The sequence below is a fragment of the Homo sapiens genome, chromosome 8 (assembly GCF_000001405.40).
Source record: "Homo sapiens chromosome 8, GRCh38.p14 Primary Assembly".
Classification (NCBI taxonomy): domain Eukaryota; kingdom Metazoa; phylum Chordata; class Mammalia; order Primates; family Hominidae; genus Homo; species Homo sapiens.
This window is the reverse complement of record NC_000008.11, coordinates 77,001,508-77,017,742: the sequence shown is the minus strand read 5'-3', so window position 1 is coordinate 77,017,742 and position 16,235 is coordinate 77,001,508. Positions and strand designations below refer to the sequence as shown.

Below are 16,235 nucleotides of genomic sequence, written 5' to 3'. Positions count from 1 at the left end.
ATATTGTGCCATTAAAGGTATTAGAATAGAGAAATGGCGTGCTTCAAATTATCTCTCTAAAGTATCATTCTAGCTGAATTGTGTACAATGGATAGTAGGGATGAGTTAAGAGGTCATTGTGGTATTCCAGGGGAGGAAAATTGGCTTAAACTAGGAAGAGGTATAAGAGATGGAGAAAATTCTTGTATTGTAGTCCTCAAGGATTCTGGGAAATAATAAACTTGAAAGCCATACGCTTGAGTGCTCATAAGTCTCATAATAGTAGCTGACTGCTGTGTGTCAGCAGTGGTAGGAAGTTTGGATAATCAGGGGATACTGAAACTTCTAGTTGTAAAACGAACTTTTCTGGATGGATGACAGTGAGATCATGAGCAGATTCTCCAGTGACTGTATATACCATTTTCATAGGAATATAAGTACATACTCTTCTAGCATCTGGTCGATATCTGAGTGATAGTAAATAAACAGACGGATACTGACAAGTATGGCTAGTTTGAATCTTGCCTTCCCAACCTGGTTTGAGACTGGGAAGCTTGGAGATGGAGACGAGGGACTGTAACTGTATGTTTTTTTAGCATCTCTTCAGCACCTAGCAGTATTTGAATAAATGGCCAACAGATCAACTGAAAGAAATTGGGAGTTGTTAGTAGTGTGGGGGAGAGGAGGAGTGTTTCAGGTAAATACACTTCCCACCTGATGAAGTATACTAACACTAAAATGGCTTGTACCAGGATTGGGAGAAACAATGATGGCAAGGTTAGGCCTGAAGTGAAATTCATTCTGATGGTATGGGAATGAACGGGTCAGTAACGTTGAATAGGAGTTCCCAGAGTTGGCATAGGGGCTGCTGTAACCTCGTCTTAGAGATGAACAGGGTTAATTACGCCTCTTCCCAGGGTAAAAACAGTCAGGTCAATCAAGTAGGCTTTAGATTCCTGTAACATGGGACCCCAGAAGGAAAGCATCTTGACCACTTTTAGCTTCCTTGAATGCAAATGAAATCTGAGAAAATGAAGGATGGTATTTTTCCACAGAGTTGAAAAGATAATGGGATTAGCATTTTGGGATTGTCTGATGTCCTTGCCTTGTTAATCTTCTAAGAGACAGACAGGCATATCTAGATCCAAAAGACCTCTTGCTGGCTTCCTAAAACATGACTGCCAACCTAGCACCACCTGGAGATGTGTGGTGTAACGTCTGTTCCCCTGGCTGTTGACTTGAACAAGGCGGGAGGAAGTGTCCTGAGGGCCAGGCAGATTAGCTGATCTTGAGTGACGGGCCCCAGATGCCAAAAGTGCCTGGTTAAGAGCCTGCTCTTGAGAAGTTCCTAGACTCTCAGGCTCTGATCCTGGTAATTTAGTGAGTGAATGTGTAGAGAGAGTGCATCACTATGTATGTTCTCCAGTTGCATGTCCAATATAAAAGCCACTAGATACATGTGGCTACTTGAATTTAATTCAAATTAAATCAGTTTAAACTTCAGCTTTTCAGTGGTACTAGCCATGTGTGGCTAGTGATGATTATATTAGACGCACAGGTAAAGGACATCTCCATCTTTGCATAAAGTTCTGTTAGACAGTCCTATTCTAGACTTCCTAAGCTTTCTCAGCTGTAAAATGGAAAAAAATTCCTGCCTTTCTCATAGAGATATGAGCATGAATAAGCTAATGAGGATGAAAATACTTCAAAAAATGTTGCATGCATTATGAGGCAGGGTTGCAGTGTGATTATTGCTTGCTTTCTGGCTGCTGGATTTATCATCTACTGTCAAATCAGCACAGCAATTTACTGCAGGAGTGAACCATCTCACAAGAACCCAGGCCATTCTGAGAAAGTCCCTCAGCCTGTGGAAGGTGTTTACTGAGCATGGTGTCGAGCAACTAACTGGCTTCTCCAGACTATTTTCCAAGCTGCCTGGCAAGAATCCTTTGGAAGTCCATCTCACCTTGGCTTGATCGCCTCTGATCACACCTAACCCTCCCAGGCCAATTATTTCTATCTTTAGTAGCATGTTTGGGGTTGACTGGAAAAATGGTGTGAGGCCAATCCAGCTTTCAATTCATCTAATGGCCCTGAGCAAGGCCCACTTCAGAGATGTAGGACCTGAGTAGTCATACAGTGCCTTGCACTCAAAAGGGCTCTGCTATTGCCATGTTGAAATTGCCAACAATTTCATATTTAAACATATTCGTAAGTGAGGTCCAGTGTGTCAGGGGAATATACACTGGAACAGAGGAGATACAAAGCAAAATGCAGGCATCTTGGCCTGTTGTATTCCTTAGCTCCCAATTCACACAGTGTTCGTGATGTCCAGGAGCACAGGATTCTGGTGGACCCACGCTAAGTGGAAGTTCATAGAGACTCAAGTCAAGTATTCACGGTCGGTGTCTTATGTCCACTACTGAGGAAGCAAAGGCACTGATAGCCCCAAAAGGCCATGATTTTTATTCAAACCAGAGCTTGCTTCAAACACAGAAAGAAAACAATAGTGTTCTAAGAAACATGAACAACCAAGGAAACTTACCATACTTTCTTATGCATATTAGTTTCCTGTGTTAATGACCTACTTACATTGAAAATGATGACAAAGGAGGAAAGAAAAAAACAGGACAACCCATATTTCATTTTCTTTCTGTCTTTCATTACTCATCAGGAAGCTGAAGGTAGAGAATGCTGGTAGAATGTATGCATGTAAAGAAGTAAAATAAAAGCATTTGAATTAGTTTATGCAGTTTCCACTGTTCTGGTAAGGAAAAAAAAGATATTCATGTGCAAACTAAAAAAAAAAAAAAAAAAAAAAAAAAAAAAAAAAAAAAAAAAACAATAAAACCATGGTGGAATTTCCACATGCGAATTAAATACTCCCATATTTGCATTTAAAAATAGGTATTGCACAATAGAAAGATGAATGATAAAATGTATGCTAATCATTTTAAATTTTAATTTTCCTTTTCTTAAGATGACACTAAATGGCAAACAAAACTATCATGACAGGAGAAAGATTGTAAACTAAAGGAAAAGCTTTATATTTTAGTATATTTAATTACACTTTTTTTTCCTATTTTTTGAACAAGCAGTTTCATTATGGACTTGGCCCTGCAAATAACGTAGCCAGCTCTGACTATAAGCTAGTTATTTGACTTCTTTCCATTTCATTCATTCAATATCGAGTGATTAACTGAAAAACAGATTTTGGCTGCAGGTACTCAAGTTTAGAATGCGGCTCCAGGTCTAAATGAAGGGAGCTGAAGTGCAGACTGTATTGAGAGGAAGAATAGTATAGTGATTAAAGCACTGATGCCAGGAGCAGGGTGCCTGGCATTACATTCTGGCCCTGTCAACCTTTCGATCTGGGGTAATTTATTTAATTTCTCTGTGTCTCAGTTTCTTCATCTGTAAAATGGAAATCTGGTAATAACAATGCCTACTACATGGGGTTGTTGCAAATGTAAAGTGCATTAATATTAATAAACGTAAAATACTTACAATAGTGTGTTGCATATATTTGGTACTATTAACCATTACTATTATTTTATAAAATAGAGGGAAATAGCCTAACTTTAATCATAAATCTGAGTCACCTATAGTACATTATTATAAATTAGCATTATTTTAAAAATTATATATGACAATACTTAGAAATATTTAGCTTCGAGCCAGCTGGCGTGTGAGGGGTTTGCTAGTTCTAGGGAGATTCTTCAAGCAATCACTACGTCAACAGACACAGATGCTTCCCTATCTTCATATGATGAAGATCAGGGACCCAAACTTATTAGAAAAGCTAAAGACGCACCATTCATCCCCATTGGAATGGCAGGTTTTGCAGCAATTGTTGTATAGGGATTATACAAATTGAAGAGCAGGGGAAATACTAAAATGCCCCTTCATCTGATCCACGTGTGTGTGGCAGCCCAAGACTTTGTTGTAGGAGTAATGACTCTTGGCATGGGCTATTCCATGTATTAGGAATTCTGGGCAATCCTAAGCCTTAGAAGAAATGAAGCTGTCTTGGTCTTCTTGGAGGAGCTTGCTTTAGTTAGAGATCTCATTACTGAAGTTACATATTAATGTTAAAAATAAACTATTTGAGTGGGTTCAGATGGTAACATGGCATTTCGAATATTGGCTTCCTTTCCTACAGGCTTGATTTGCCTGGTGATCGAATTATTCGTGACTAGTTTACCAACTAGGTCATTCAGGGGAGTCAAGTTAACACAAAAGAAACATGTCACCTAAATGCACTGGATAGTGTTAAAATGTCCACCTTCTTAAACTATTGAGGTGAAATTAGTTCTAAAGAAGACAGCACGCCAACCCTGAAGTACTCCCAGTTTGCTGCAGAATCTCTCATGTTTTGGATGTTATATAAGAGTCCTATTTGCCCCAGTTAATTTAACTTTTTTTCTACCTGTCTTGTGGACTGGCTGGCTTTTTTAGAGCTCTGTCTAGAAAATGCATGGAATAGAAGTTGTAAAGCCTCCCACAGCTGAAAGTATATATGTGTGTGTGTGTTTAAACCAAATCTAGAAAGCTTACAATAGGGCTGCAGAGTAGTAGTATTTATTAAAGAATCGCGGCAGGGTGCGGTGGCTCACGTCTGTAATCCCAGCACTTTGGGAGGCCGAGGCGGGTGGATCACGAGGTCAGGAGATCGAAACCATCCTGGCTGACACGGTGAAACCCTGTCTCTACTAAAAATACAAAAAAATTAGCCAGGTGTGGTGGCGGGCGCCTGTAGTCCCAGCTACTCGGGAGGCTGAGGCAGGAGAACGGCGTGGACCCGGGAGGTGGAGCTTGCAGTGAGCCAAGATCGCGCCACTGCACTCCAGCCCGGGCGACAGAGTGAGATTCCGTCTCAAAAAAAACAAACAACAACAACAACAACAAAAAACGTAATTATAAACATGAGAATAACTTATGGATTCTAGTTTAGTTCTCTTGTAATTGTAGAGTTATATTTTTGCGGCTGTTACATTAGAATAATTTTTAAATATCATCTTGAAATAGAAATGTGTATTTTAAGCACTCATAGAAAGGTAAATAAACACTTTCTAAATGTGTGCGTTGCTGGCTGTGCACGGTGGCTTATGCCTGTAATCCCAGCACTTTGGGACGCCGAGGTTGGTGGATTGCTTGAGTTTAGGAGGTCGAGACCAGCCTGGGCAACATAATTAAACCCTGCCTCTACTAAGAATACAAAAATTAGCCAGGTGTGGCAGCGCACACTGGTAGTCCCAGCTGCTCAGGTGGCTGAGGCAGGAGAATTGCTTGAGCCTGGGAGGCAGAGGCTGCAGTGAGCTGAGATCACACCACCGCACTCCAGCCTGGGCAACAGAGTGAGACCCTGTCTCTAAATAAATAAATAAATAAATAAATAAATAAATAAATAAATGTGTGCTTTTCTTATTTTCTCCCTAAGAATTATAAACATTAAACTAAACAAATTACCTATAATGGAATTGATTAATGCTTTATGAGCAAGCTGGTTTGGTCAGACAGTGTATACACACTTTTATATACTACAGAATGCTATTACACTTGTGAAATTCTCTTGTCTAACCTGAATTTACATTCCATAGTGATAACATGGTATATGTATTGTTATTAAATCAAGTGACCATGTCTAAAAAAAAAAAAGAAATATTTACCTTCACTAAACACTACTTAAGCACACATGTAGTTTGAGGTTCTGATAGGTGAGCAGAAATCATCATCTTCCCAAAATGAACATTTTCTGGTTGTCTTAGGCTTATGACTAAACACGCTCAGACACTGCTTCAGGTAACTTGCCCATAGACAGCCAGACTACATTAGTATTGCTTTGTGTTTGAGCTACAATTACTTGTGAAAGAGAAAAAATTATCAAATTTTATTTTCCAAATTATATATTTAATTGGTAAGTTACTAACCACTTAGAAAAAATAAATCATAACAAAGCTAGCTGAAACAAATTTGCCTTCATCTATCCTAGAAACTTACAAATGTTTGGATGTTCAGGCACAGATCATACATTATATTGATGTATCACAACTTGGAAGATTCAATACCATGGAGAATAGAGCCTGAACTTAGAACTGGAAAGTAACATTTGCAATTATAAAGACCTAAGTTCTCATTTCTCTAAATAGCTATGAAATTCTTCCATGTTCCAAATCCCCTTGGAAGTGTGTGAGTGTAAGAAGGAAATAAGTGCCCAGCCTTAATAATTAAAAATACCACTGCAACGTTTATCTTTAAAGAGAGCTCTGCAGGCTGGAAAAAGAAAGATTTCAATCTGCTTCTAAGTAAAATAATCTTTAATTTTAAAAAGTACTCCCAAAGTTATTTCATTAAAAAACCAAAGGATACATTCTTTCTTTTAGATTAATTCCATTCTCCTGCAAAATGTCCTGAGCATTTTGATTCTTTCATTCTTGTTCATATTTTTATTTCTTAGTGACTTTTCTCTTCTCCTAACATACAAACTAAGGGCAAGCACGCTCCCACAAATGTTTATATCCTCCCAAAGTGACTAATATAGTGTCATACATTCAGTACAAATCTTATTTCATTGATTGCCATTTGATTAATAAACCTTAGTAAGATTTTCTAACAAGGATAATTTTTAAATAATAGGATTTAAAATGAATAAGTAAAGAAATCATAGATTTTATACTGTCTTTCTGTAATAATGGCTAAAAGTCACCTTAAATTTACTAAATCTCTGTAAACTGAATATTATAAAACAAAACACTTCAAGATGGTGTAGCAAAGACTAGCCTAGTCTTATATTCTCAGGGCTACTCATCCCTCAGTAGTTTTTGGAAACCAAATGAATTAAGCTTCCACCTCTACTACTCTGGATAATGTCAAAGCCTAGCTAAGCAGCACTACCCGTTGACATTCGCCTTGGTGCCTGGGTGTAATCCAAAGTATCTATAGACACTTGGCAACTTACTCTTAGAATCATATAAATTTAGAATTGGAAAAGTTCACTAAATTTATCTAGCCCATATTCTTCATTTTCGCATGAAGTACTAAAGCCCTCAGATGTTCTATCATTTGCTCAAGGGCACTCAACTCAATGAGTATGTGGATATAAGCTATCAGGTCTCCTTAACTTCAAGCCCAGTTCTTGTAACTCTACAGCATCTTCTTTATCCAACTCTCAGAGAATTTCTATGACCCAGAAGTACTTGGGAGCAATGTTTAATCATTAGATCCTTCTAAAATGAGGAGGAAAAATTCATTAATTCAGGAACTCAAGAAAAACCAGGACTTCTGGATACTTTCTGACTGTTTGGAAATCATGTGAAATGCTAGTGTATGTATATAATCCTTTATTCTACTCATATTTTTTGTGGGATACAAGAATATTGACCTCAGACTCGTCCTGAAACTCTGAAGTAATGAGTGTTCAAAATACCCTTTCCAGACAGAGTTCCAAAGGCTTCTTTTCAAAGAAATGTCCTGCCTCTAAGGGTCACTGCAGTCTTCCAGGTGGGAGCGTAGGGGCTGGGGATGAAGGTAGGTATTGGATGCTGAGGCTGTTAAGGTTAATGATGTCAGGTCAAATAATTGCCATATATTTTTTCTCATTACCTCACTGGCTTCCTCTGTTATGGCAGTAAGATATATAGTACAAACACTTAAATACATACAGAAAAGGGAGATATTTTAAAATGAAAGGGCTTCAAGATTATTCCTCTAGGGATAGTACAGAATCTGTCTGGCTATGAGGTAGAGGGAGTAGCCTCTCCTAAATTTTAAGATCAAAATTAGCAAGAAGTGAAGCCAAACTTGGGCTAGGCTAGGAATTTAGGACTTAGCCTCTCTTATGGATGTAATTATGTTATTCCTGTAAAGCTACAGACATAGAAAAGATGACTTCAAATAAAACATATAGACAGCACAAAGGCCCACATGTTTAACTGCACGATCAGGTTGAAACTGCAGCCATAAAAAATTGGCCTGTAGAATCCTAATCCATTAAAACAAAGGAAAAATTTTAGAGGACATGTCAAACAGATGAGAGATTAAGAAACTGAGGGCCTTGACAGTTAAGAGACCTTCCAAAGGTCACACAACTGTCAGAGGCAAATCAGTCAGGCCTCTGCATATATTTTATATTATCAACTGCCTGCTTTGTACTGTTTTGAAGCAGAAGTCCAACCCCCAAATTTAGGAATCGAAATGTAAACTGCTTTAATCTATGAATAGGAGAATTTTGAGATAAGTCAAGGTCAAAGAGAGACTATAGGAAAAGATATTACATATTTTCCTTTTGCCATTATTCAATGAGCTGTCCATTGGCTAGGTATAAGCTGTGGAAAGATTTCTCCTGGATTCATCTATTCCCTGGAAAGAAAACTCAATCTGGCTTAAGAGAAAAAATTCCTCTCCATGTAATGATAAATTGTCTAAATTGAAAGCTCACACCATAATCAAAGTTGAACTGTACAGACATCCTACAAAATTAAATTTTCATCTAGTGAATCTGAATGTTTTGAAGAAAAAAATACTTCTGTTTTTAAGGCCTACTCCCAGGTAACTAAAACACAATCATAATGAAATTTTTTCTTCATTTCTATAAGCTCTGTTTTTAGTGGAATGCTTAATGTTCTTTGCATGTAACCACCAATAATACTATTTTTATAAGAAAAAAATACCTGTATATGTTGATATATAATGATTCATGCAGTTTTGCTGAAACTAAATATAAACTTAACACATTTTTTAATGTGTCAAGAAGTTTAACCACACAAAATGTTCAGTGTACATTCATAAGTTTTCTTTTGTACTGTACTGAAACTAAATTTCATATTTTCATACAATCTATACAATCTGATTCTCTGTGTGTTTCAAATTTACCCGAATATCATCTCTATAATAGTGCCACTAAATAGTTTAAGATGTAGTTGATTTAAACTACTAGTCACAAACCTCAAGAATCAATAATTTTATAAACAATACATTCTTTTTTTTTTTTTACATAACTATCTCCAGGCCCCAAACTATCTTTCTAAATTTATCTCCCACTTTTCCTCATCCTGATGCAGCTCTAGATGCTGTGAGCTGGTGTCTTCCAGCTCATGCTTCTCCAGCTGTCTTGCTCAGCTGATTATGCTCTTTCCTCTAACAGCCAGAAGCTTAAATTCTACCCAGCCTTTCAGAGCCATGTCGGATACCTTCCTAGTGCCACAGCATTTCCTAATAACTTGGTCAGGGATAATCTCATTCGCCTGACAGACTGTAACCTTTCATTTCTTCCTGCTGCACCATCACCTTTTGCCTCATAGCATGGATCTTTAGGGAACAATTTATTATAGTGGTAAGAGTGAGAACTCAAGAGCCATACAACCTGAGTTCAAATCCTGCCAATCTACTGGCTCACTGCGGATCTTGGGAATATAGTTTGACCTCTCTTAAATCCAATTTCATCATTTATCAAATGAGATAATTATAGTACCTACTTTATAAAGTTGTAATAATCTAAGATTATAACATATAAAATGCACTGAAAGTTGTCTAATACCTAGTAATTGCTCAATAAACATAAGCAACTACTAATACTTCAATTTTATTACTATTATCATCACTATTTGCAGTGGAAAGAGCTTCTACTAATAATTAAGTGACCCAGGAAGTTGCCTAATCTTTCCAAGTATTTGTTTTATTATCTGTACTAAAGCAAAGCTTCTGCACAGCAAAGGAAACAATCAATAAAGAGACAACCTGCAGAATGGGATAAAATATTTGCAAACTATCCATCCAACAAGGGATTAATAACCAGAACATATAAGAAACTCAAACAACTCAATAGCAAAAAAACAAATAATCTGATTTACAAATGGACAAATGATCTAAATAGATGCTTCATAAAAGAATACATACAAATGGCCAACAGGTATTAAAAAAAATACCCAACATCACTAATCATTAGGGAAATGCAAATCAAAACCACAATTATATCACTTCACTCCAGTTAAAATTATCAAAGGACAAAAAATAATAAATACTGGCAAGGATGTGAACACTCACACACTGTTGGTGGGAATGTAAATAAGCACAGCCACTGTAAAAAACAGTATGAAAGTTCCTCAAAAAACTAAAAATATATCTACCATATGATCCTGCATTCTCACTGCTAGGTATACATCCAAAAGAAAGAAAACTAGTGCATCAAAGAGATTATCTACACTCCCATGTTTATTGCAGCACTATTCACAATAGCCAAGGTAAGGAAGGAACCTAAGTGTTTATCAGTGGATAAATGTATAAAAGAAAACATGCCATACATGTAATTAATATATATGGCATTTATACATACATATATATATATGGCATATATTATTAATATATTAATAATATATGACATATATTTATATATAAAATTAACTTTTTGTATATTTCAAAATACCTACAAGATTTGGAATGTTCCCAATACCACTAAATAACATTTGAGGTGATGGATATTCAAATTACCCCAGTTTGATCATTACACATTGTATGCATGTATCAAAATATCACATGTACCCCATAAATATGTACAATTATATAACAGTAAAATCTTTAAACATTTTTGAAGTCAACAGCAAAAAACTGTATTTACTTTATTATTCATTATCTATTGCTGCATAAGAAATTATCCCCAAACTTACTTTTTTGAAAAACACGTATTATCTTGTAAGACCTATGGGTAAGGCATACGAGGTCCTCTAGTTCAGAATTTCTCACAAGGCTGCAATCAAGGTGTCCATAGAGCTGCAAGCATTTCAAGGATCAACTAGGGAAGGATCTGCGTCTCAATTCATGCTCTTGTTGTAGGCAGAATTTAGTTTTGCACAAGCTGTTCGTCTTGGGGCTTCAGTTACTTTCTGGCTGTTGGTCACAGGTGATGCTCAGTTTCTTGACATGTGGGTCTCTTTCAAAGGCAGTTTACCACACTGCAGCTTGCTTCATCAAAGCAAGCAAATAAGAGGGCAAGAGACAGACAGTGTAAGTGAGAGACAAGTCATAGTTTTCTGGAATCCAATCTCAGAAATGATATACTATCACTATTGTCCTACTCTGTTCATTGGTAGAGTCACTGGGTTAAGCTTACATTCAAAGGAGGGAGATTATACAAGGGGGTGAGTGCTATGTGATGGAGATCATTGGGTCATCTTAGAAGGCCTCCTACCACACCTCATAAAGTTATTGTGGAAATTAAATGGGATTAATGTATCTGTAGTTCATTGTAGAGTACCTAGGACACGGCAGATATGCAACAAATATGAATGTATTCTTCCCTCTCTAGTAGAATAAAAATCCTAGGAGACAAAGACATAATCAGTGAGCCCTGCAGTACCTAAGCATTCTACTAAGCCAACTTCGCTCTCAACAACCAGTAGAGTCATAAATGATACTGACACTACTGTTAACAATCTAGCTAACATTTATCTTTATTTTCAGAAGCTACAACCTATTACCTTTCCACAGTGACTCATTTACAGTACAAGAGTGTGGTAGGCAGAATAACAGTCCTCCAAAGAAGTCCATACTCCAATCCATAGAACTTATGAATAAATTACTTTACATAGGGAAAGGAATTTTGCACATGTAATCAAGTTAAGGTTCTTGAAATGGGAAGACTGACATGGTTTATCCAGGTGGGTCCAATTTTATCACAAGAATCCTTTAAAAGCAGAGAACCATTCCTGGCTGTGGTCAGAGAAACACTTGTGATTATGCCAGAATGATTAGAGAGATGCAACATTGCAGGCTTTGAAGGTAGAAGAAGGGGGCCAAGAGCCAATGAATGTGGACAGCCTCCAAAATGGGAAAAGGCAAGAAAACAGATTCTAGCCTGCAGTCTCCAGTAAAGAGTGCTACCCTGCTGTCAACTTGATCTTAGGTTGGTGAGATTATTGTCAGACATCTGATCTATAGAATAATAATATAATAAATTTACGTTGTTTTAAGCAACTAAGTTTGTGGTAATTTGTTATAATGGCAACAGAAAAATAATACAAAGAGAAAATATGTAAGTGTTTCCTGAGAGAGATCACACACAGGTACTCTCTAAATGTTGAAGGAATATATATGATCATTCTAGAATGTACAATATTAAAAATCATTGAGTAAAAAAACTAGTTCAAAACACCACTAGAAAGTACGGGACGATTTTTTCTAAATCATTGTATTTCAAGACCATTACCTATCATCAAAAGCAATGAGAATAAAAACTATTATGTTTTTATTTAACAAGCACTTGTAGAACATTTACTAGGTGGTAGACACTATTATAGAGTCTAAAGTCATAGATACGTTATAAATATTATTCATTTAGTTCTATTAACTTAAAAGACAGTTACTATTATCATTCTTCTTCTACAGACAAACAACAAACACAATTTTGATTAGCTTTCCCAAGAAAACTTCCCCAAGCTTGTAAGTGGCAGAGCCAGAATTCAAACTCAGGCACTCTGGCTCCAGAGTACAGGAATTATGCTTCTTCTAAAATCATAATTGAATTGTATATAATAATCATAATGAAATCATATATATTCCAAATACATAGTTTCATATATTTATTTAGACTGAAGCAGACTAAAAAATTGTATATATTCTGGATTATTTTTCCCAAATCATTCATTGACCAATTACTAAGTACCTCCTATGCCACGGGCATAGAGGAAAAAGAGAAATGAATAAAACAATTAGTCTCCCCTTAAAGAGTTCACAGATTAGTGACAAGAGACAGATGATACAATAATACAATAATTTATGTTATCATGAAATAATATAAATTCATTAAAGCAAAACCATCTCTTATGGCTCTATTATCCATGAGCTCCTGATTTAGAAGGGAAGATATGTATTTAAATAAACAACTGTGTGACACCTTTTAAGTTACGGTAGAAGCATGTAACTGGTACCAAGAGGCACAGAAAAAAGAGTAATATTTGTAGGACCTGGCAGAGGGGACACTGAATGGTTTGAAGAAGGAGAGTAACATATAGAGTTTTGTAGTTTAGAGATCATTCCAGCAAGCAAGGATAGTAAGCCTGAAGGGCAGTGAGGCTGGAGGCCACCAATTTGTTAAGAGATGGCTTAAAGTGCAAGGATAATGAGGGTTTGAATTAAGGCAAGTGCAGGAAAGATTATTAAAAGAGAGAGTGAATTTGGAGTGGTATTAGCAGGCATTATGGAAGGGGACCCAGGATATGACATTGTCCATACTCCCCAGAGTCCCCTCCACACACATAAGTCTCCCTCAAAGAATAATAATAGCAAACGAGAGCAGTGAAAAGTTAGAATTGATGGCTGTGTAAATACCCAGCAGAGGAATGGCAAGAGAGAGTCTCTGGAATGTGTGAAAAGTCCTGGTGCCCTTCTAGAGAGTTTGAATATTAGCCTGCAGATACTAGGATCTGGACAAAGTATTTAGAATGCATGATCAGATAACACTGAAGGTACCATGGTTAGAACGATAGATGCTAGCCTAGAGTGAGGAGAAATCAGAGTCTGAGAAAGGAGATAGCACTGTAGTGTATTAAAGTAAAAATTTTAATTTTCAGTTTTTATTTTACAAGGAAAGACTGATCTCTAAAGGAAACATTTCTTTTTATAATAAATACTGTTTTTAAAAGTTGAATTGTCATCAATAATTACAGCTAGCAATTGCTTGCACTGCATAATGATGTTTCAGTCAATGATGGCCCACATACACAACAGTGGTCCCTAAGATTATAATACTGTATTTTTACTGCAATTTTTCTATGTTTAGACATGGTTAGATGCACAAATACTTACCACTGTGTTACAACTACCTATAGTACTCAGTACAGTAACACGCTGTGCGGGTTTGTAGCCTAGGAGCAAAAGGTTATCCCATGTAGCCTAGGTATGTAGTAGACTACATCATCTAGGTTTGTGTAAGTACACTCTACGATGTTCACACAACAAAATAGCCTAATGACGCACTTCTCAAAACGTATCTCTATTGTTATGAATGACTGTATGTAGAGGCAGTGCTCTAAGTACCTTACATATAGTATTTGTTTAATTCTCAACTATTATTATTGGTTCAGTTTATTGTTAAGTCTCAGAGAGGTCAAGTAACTTGCCCAGGGTCATTCAGTAATGGGTAGGTAGAATTTGAATCCACAAGGTGATGTCAGAACCTGAATTCATAGCCACTGTATCATCAACACATGTTTAGTTAAATCCAGGTATGTAGAAATTATTTTTATTATGTTGAGCTTCAGAGCATGCACAGGCTCTGGAACCAGACTACCTAGGTTCAGATCTCCATTTCACCATTTAATGGCTGTGAGAAATTCGACAAGTTACTTCAGCTTTCAGTACCTGTTTCCTCATCTGTGAGTGGGAACAATAACAGTGTTTGCCTCCTAGGGTAGTTCTGAGGATTAAATGAGTGAATTTAGTAAAAGGGCTCAGAAAAGTACCTTGAGCATATTATATAACCAACAAAATTTACCTATTATCAATATTATTATTCTAACATAAAGTATTGAGAATAGTGGTATGAAACACTGGATATACTGCATGGCCCCAATTGAGATCTGAGATAGGTAGAATAATGGCTCCTAAATATATCCATTCCCCAATCCCTGTAAGCTGTGAATATGTTACATTATTACCGCAAAAGCAACTTTGCAGATGTAAATAAAAGTTATGAACCTTGAGCGGGGGAGATTCTGTCTAACCAATGGATTCTTAAAAGGCTGTAATTGGAGAGATACAGCAATGGAAGAAGAAGAAAGAAAGATTTACAAGGATGAAAGGGTCTCAATCCACCATTGCTGGCTTTGGAGACGAAGAGGGCCATAACCAAGGAAATGTGAGTGGCCTCTAGAAGCTGAAAACAGCTCTTAGCTGACAGCCAGCAAAGAAACAGGGAGAACAGCTACAAGAGCAAGGGACTCAATTTGTCCAACAACCTGAATAAGCAAAAAAAAAAAAAAAATCAGATTCTTCCCTTACCTCTCTAGAAAGGAACACAATCCTGTGGACACCTTGATTTTAGGCCATTGAGAACCATGTTGGACTTCTGACTACAGAACTGTAAGGTAATAAATTGGTGGTGGTTTGAGCTTCTAACTTTGTTACAGAAATAGTATTAATGGTAAACTAATATAAGATCCATACTTAACTTTTTCCTAAAAGACTCAAATATATTGATTTAGGAACTACATAATATTCTAGAATAAATTTAACTTCTTAAAGTCAGCATTTTAAAACTATATTAGGGACATAAATCAATGTCTTATTTACATTTCTATTGTTAAATTCTTAGAATCTAAAAGTTGCTAAAAGGCTAAAGAGGATATAAAATGCTATTATAAAATGTTTCCATCTTTTCTATGTAAAGGTTAAAAAAACAATTTTAATTTTTCTTCTTTAACTTCTCATAGTTAATGAACAAATTAACTTTGATTTTTTTCCTAATATTTTTAAGTCCACAGCCAAGTTCTAATAAAGACTCTTAACATGTCACTAGAAATATATAAATTCTAGGTTTAAAATAACTCATGTTTTGCATTTACAGAGGTAAACATTTACTAAGAAGAAAATATTCTGTCTTGGTTATTATTTACTTATTCACTGCCTCTGAACTGATATGAATTAGCTCTGAGAGAGTAAGAGCCGTGTCTGTTTTCTGTCTTCACATTTTTATCAACACTGCCTAGCAAAACTCCCGGGCCTCAGAAAGCTTTTGTTAAATAAATGAATGAAAAATAAATATATCTTTAAAAAACTGGAAACAAAGCTTCCCTGGAACCTCAGCTCACCAGCTCATGGGAAAATTAAGAAGGTATACTGTATCTACAGGTTAAACATTAAAATCTAGAACTTATTTTAAACAATTTCAACAGAATTTTAACTGTTGCATGTTTCCCCGCATTCTTAATGAGATTCATTAAATATGATTCAAGTTTCTTGATATCTTTATTATTTTCATTCGCTACTGTGTGATGTTCACATGACATACATAAGGCTCTATGAACCAGAATTTGCTTTCTGAAAATGTCCTCTATGTCAATCAAGTCTTTGTGTGTATTTTCCCCCGTCCCTCTCAAAAATTAAGTGAAGCACAGCACATCTGTAGGCTACCTGAGAGGTGCAGCGTGGTTGGTTTTCTTCACAGTTGCTAAACGAAAGGCCTACTCTTCTTCAGTGAGATTTTTTTACTCTCTAGAACAGCAGTATCCATAGAAATATAATGGAAGCCACGTAATTTAAAATTT

The 16,235-nt window shown here is 36.3% G+C and overlaps 1 pseudogene; it reads left to right on the top strand.

Moving 5' to 3' along the window:
- Positions 3,655-4,187, top strand: HIGD1AP18 (HIG1 hypoxia inducible domain family member 1A pseudogene 18; annotated as a pseudogene).